Source organism: Homo sapiens, chromosome 2, assembly GCF_000001405.40.
Source record: "Homo sapiens chromosome 2, GRCh38.p14 Primary Assembly".
In the NCBI taxonomy this organism is placed as follows: domain Eukaryota; kingdom Metazoa; phylum Chordata; class Mammalia; order Primates; family Hominidae; genus Homo; species Homo sapiens.
The window spans coordinates 152876535-152879513 of record NC_000002.12 but is presented as its reverse complement, the minus strand read 5'-3'; the positions used below and the strand labels follow the sequence as shown (position 1 = coordinate 152879513).

Sequence of the window (2979 nt, the reverse complement as noted above, 5' to 3'; positions counted from 1 at the left end):
TGTATGTGTGTGTGTGTACACACGTGTATGCACATGTACCCACATGTGCATAAACATGTGTCTTTGAGGAAGTGGAGCCAATATGACCACTTGTGGGCCATACACTTAGCTTCACTGAGCCCCTTTCTTCCAGTTCCATCAGCATCTCCAAGTCTCCTCTACCAGACGCAGGCCTGGTTTCAGCTGCCTGAGAGAGCTATTATGCTTTCACTCCCTGTCACTTCCAACTTCCCAGCCTTATACTCAGGCTGTCTTTCCCCATTTGCTTCCTCCAGAAAAATCTCATTCTCTCTTCTTCTGCATCAATCTCCATTGGGCTGGTCCAGAGCTTCTCAATTCCTGTCCAGAGAGCTGTGTCTTATCTCCTCCTTCAGAAAGGGAAACAGGTATCTTCCTCTTTGCCCTGGGAGTCCTAACAGAGCCCATGAAAGAGTACTGGATGAAGTGACCAGAATAGGGGCTGAGGAGCCTGTTTCACTTACCCTTCCTTCAGAGTGTGAATTCTACCACTAATTAGGCTGAGGAGTGGGTGGGCAGTGAGAGGAGGTACGGACAGAGGAAGAGAGTTACCAAAAGTAAACATGAGATGAACAAAACCCTACCTAGTGGTACAGATGGAAGACCCTGTTTCAGAAAGCTAGATAGTTGGTTCCTTCTTTGATTGTGCCTGCCACTGAGAGATTTGAAGATTGTAAAAGGTGGTGTGGGACAAGGAAGCAGGACCAATCAAAATTGTGAAAAATTTTTAAATAGCTCTGCTCAGGGAGGACTAGGAGAGAAGATTCTGTTAGAGGCACACAGTAAAACCAAAATGCTCAGACCTACAGGGTTGGGGCTCATGCCTCTAAAGTCACTTCAGCTGTTTGGAGAGGACGAGAGAGAAGAGAGAAGGGACAGAAAACTGCAGAGGATAAGATGTGACAGAGGAACCGAATGCTAGCATCAAGTGAGGGAGAGGCAGGAGGCACAGGCGAAGGGAATAAGAGAGCAGGGAGCTCAGGAGTCTCTCAATAGCTGAGTTGCTGTCTTCTCCTTTGGCAATCAGGGCCTACAGGTTGGCCCCACCATTGAGCTCATGTTGTTGAGCTGCTCCAGTTGCAGTTGCTGCTGAAATTTCACTTCTAGTGTCTGCACCAGTGAGTTTCCACATCCAGCCAAAAGCTGGGTCATCTACTTCATGAACTACTGCTGGGCATCAGAAGACCTGTTAGGGAAGTTGTGCCTGGCATGGCTGGGAAAGAGCTGGGAGACTTGGGCACAGACCTGAAGCTGCTGTCTGCCAAGGGTGCTGGAGTCTGAAACATCCCAAAGAAATCAAGGCTGGGTACCAGCCAGAAGCCTCAGTCCACTAAGTCTCCAGTCCCTGCTGTATCTACAACAGCATCTGCAAGAATTGACAAAAAGTGAGAGTGACTCCACATTCTGCATCTGTTACAAGAAGACTGAGAGCTGCAGGCAGAGCTGCTCCTGCACTTAGGGATTCCCCAAAAAAGTGGCATCTAAGCATCAAAGTTAGGGTTTTGGGTAAGCATCTGCATCATGCTATCCATGCAGGGAGCTGAGATCACATTCTGCATCATCTGGGAGTTCTCAAAGATCTGCTAGAGGAGGGCCTGTATTCCCGGGCTATTGAACATCCCTGACCACAGACTAACTGCATTAATTGCAAAGAAGTTTGACACTGTCGAGTGCATCTGGCTGGCCCCCAATCCTCCAGTGCCCTCCCCACCAGACCCAGGAACCTGGGAGATATGGGGTGAGGGATTCCACAGGTTAGGGAGGGGCTCTCAATTCTCAGTTGGGAGGATGAGCTAGGTCCCTATACAAGGAAGGGAAGGGATTGTTCCTGGTCAGCACTAAACATGGGCCCCTGTATGTCTGTATACATGCAGTAGAGAGCATTGCAGCCTCTGGGGGTGCTCTCTAAGTTGCTCAGGCCCTGGTCTGGTTCTGCATTATCTCCTGCATCACGCTGGATTCCAAACAAGCTCTATCACCTGCCTCGTGAACTTGAGTTGGGGAGTATAGTAGCTCATCTTGGGGTTCTTCCCCATCAGCTGCTGCATCTGGGTGTTGGCCATGATCTGTGGCACATCAGGCCAGGGATAAACATCATGTCCTGGACCAGAAGGCTCTCTAAGATCTGCAACAGCATCTCAAGTTTGGACATCGGCTGCCTCTGCATCTGCTGTAGCTCTACAAAGTTGGTAGAGCCCAAGTCCATGCTGCTGAGCCCCAGGATGCCCCAAAACCAGAGAGTTTGGATGCAGTAGCACTAAAAGGCCCCAACCCAACCCCTAAAAAGGCAACTGCCTCCCCACTGCTCTTCTGGCTTCTACCACCAGCATCCAAAGTGGTACAGCCAGAGGTGGAGGGCTTGCAGGATGGTGGGTAGTCACGGTGGAGGATGCTGAGGCAGGGTCTGGAGTTGAGGGTGAGGAAGCAGTAGCAGCAGCCACAACTTGAGCCTTCTGAGACTTCTGGGTGAACAGATAGACAGTGAGCCTGTCCTTGATCCCATGCTGGTTCAGTGTGTCCCCATCCTTGAGGATCTTGTCTGCAAAGATCAGGATCAGCTGATCCTGCTGAGCCTTAAACCTCCAAGAGATTTTGTCTTTGTATTCCTTGAACCAAGATTTGGTCAAACAGCACAACTTCCTTCTTGTCCTTGGGAGTCCTGGCAGTGATCCAAATGGGGAGCCTTCATCTCAGCCCTGCTCAGCTCTGCCATGCTGCTATGCTGCCTGCCAGCTCACCCTGGTTCCTCCTCTTTGAAAAGCCAGGATTTAAACCCAAAGTATTTTTTCACTCCCCGAATCCATGTTCCTTTCTGTTCTTGATCATTTTTAATCAACAGATATTTATAGTTTATACCAGGCATTGTGCAAGGCACTGGGGCTATAATGGTAAAAAAAAGATCAACCCTCCCCGCCTTCATAGAGCTGAGTCTCTGAGACAGACCAGCTGCCTACTGGCAAT

The 2979-nt window shown here is 49.6% G+C and overlaps 1 pseudogene; it reads right to left on the bottom strand.

Moving 5' to 3' along the window:
• UBQLN4P2 (ubiquilin 4 pseudogene 2) lies at positions 784-2770 on the bottom strand (annotated as a pseudogene).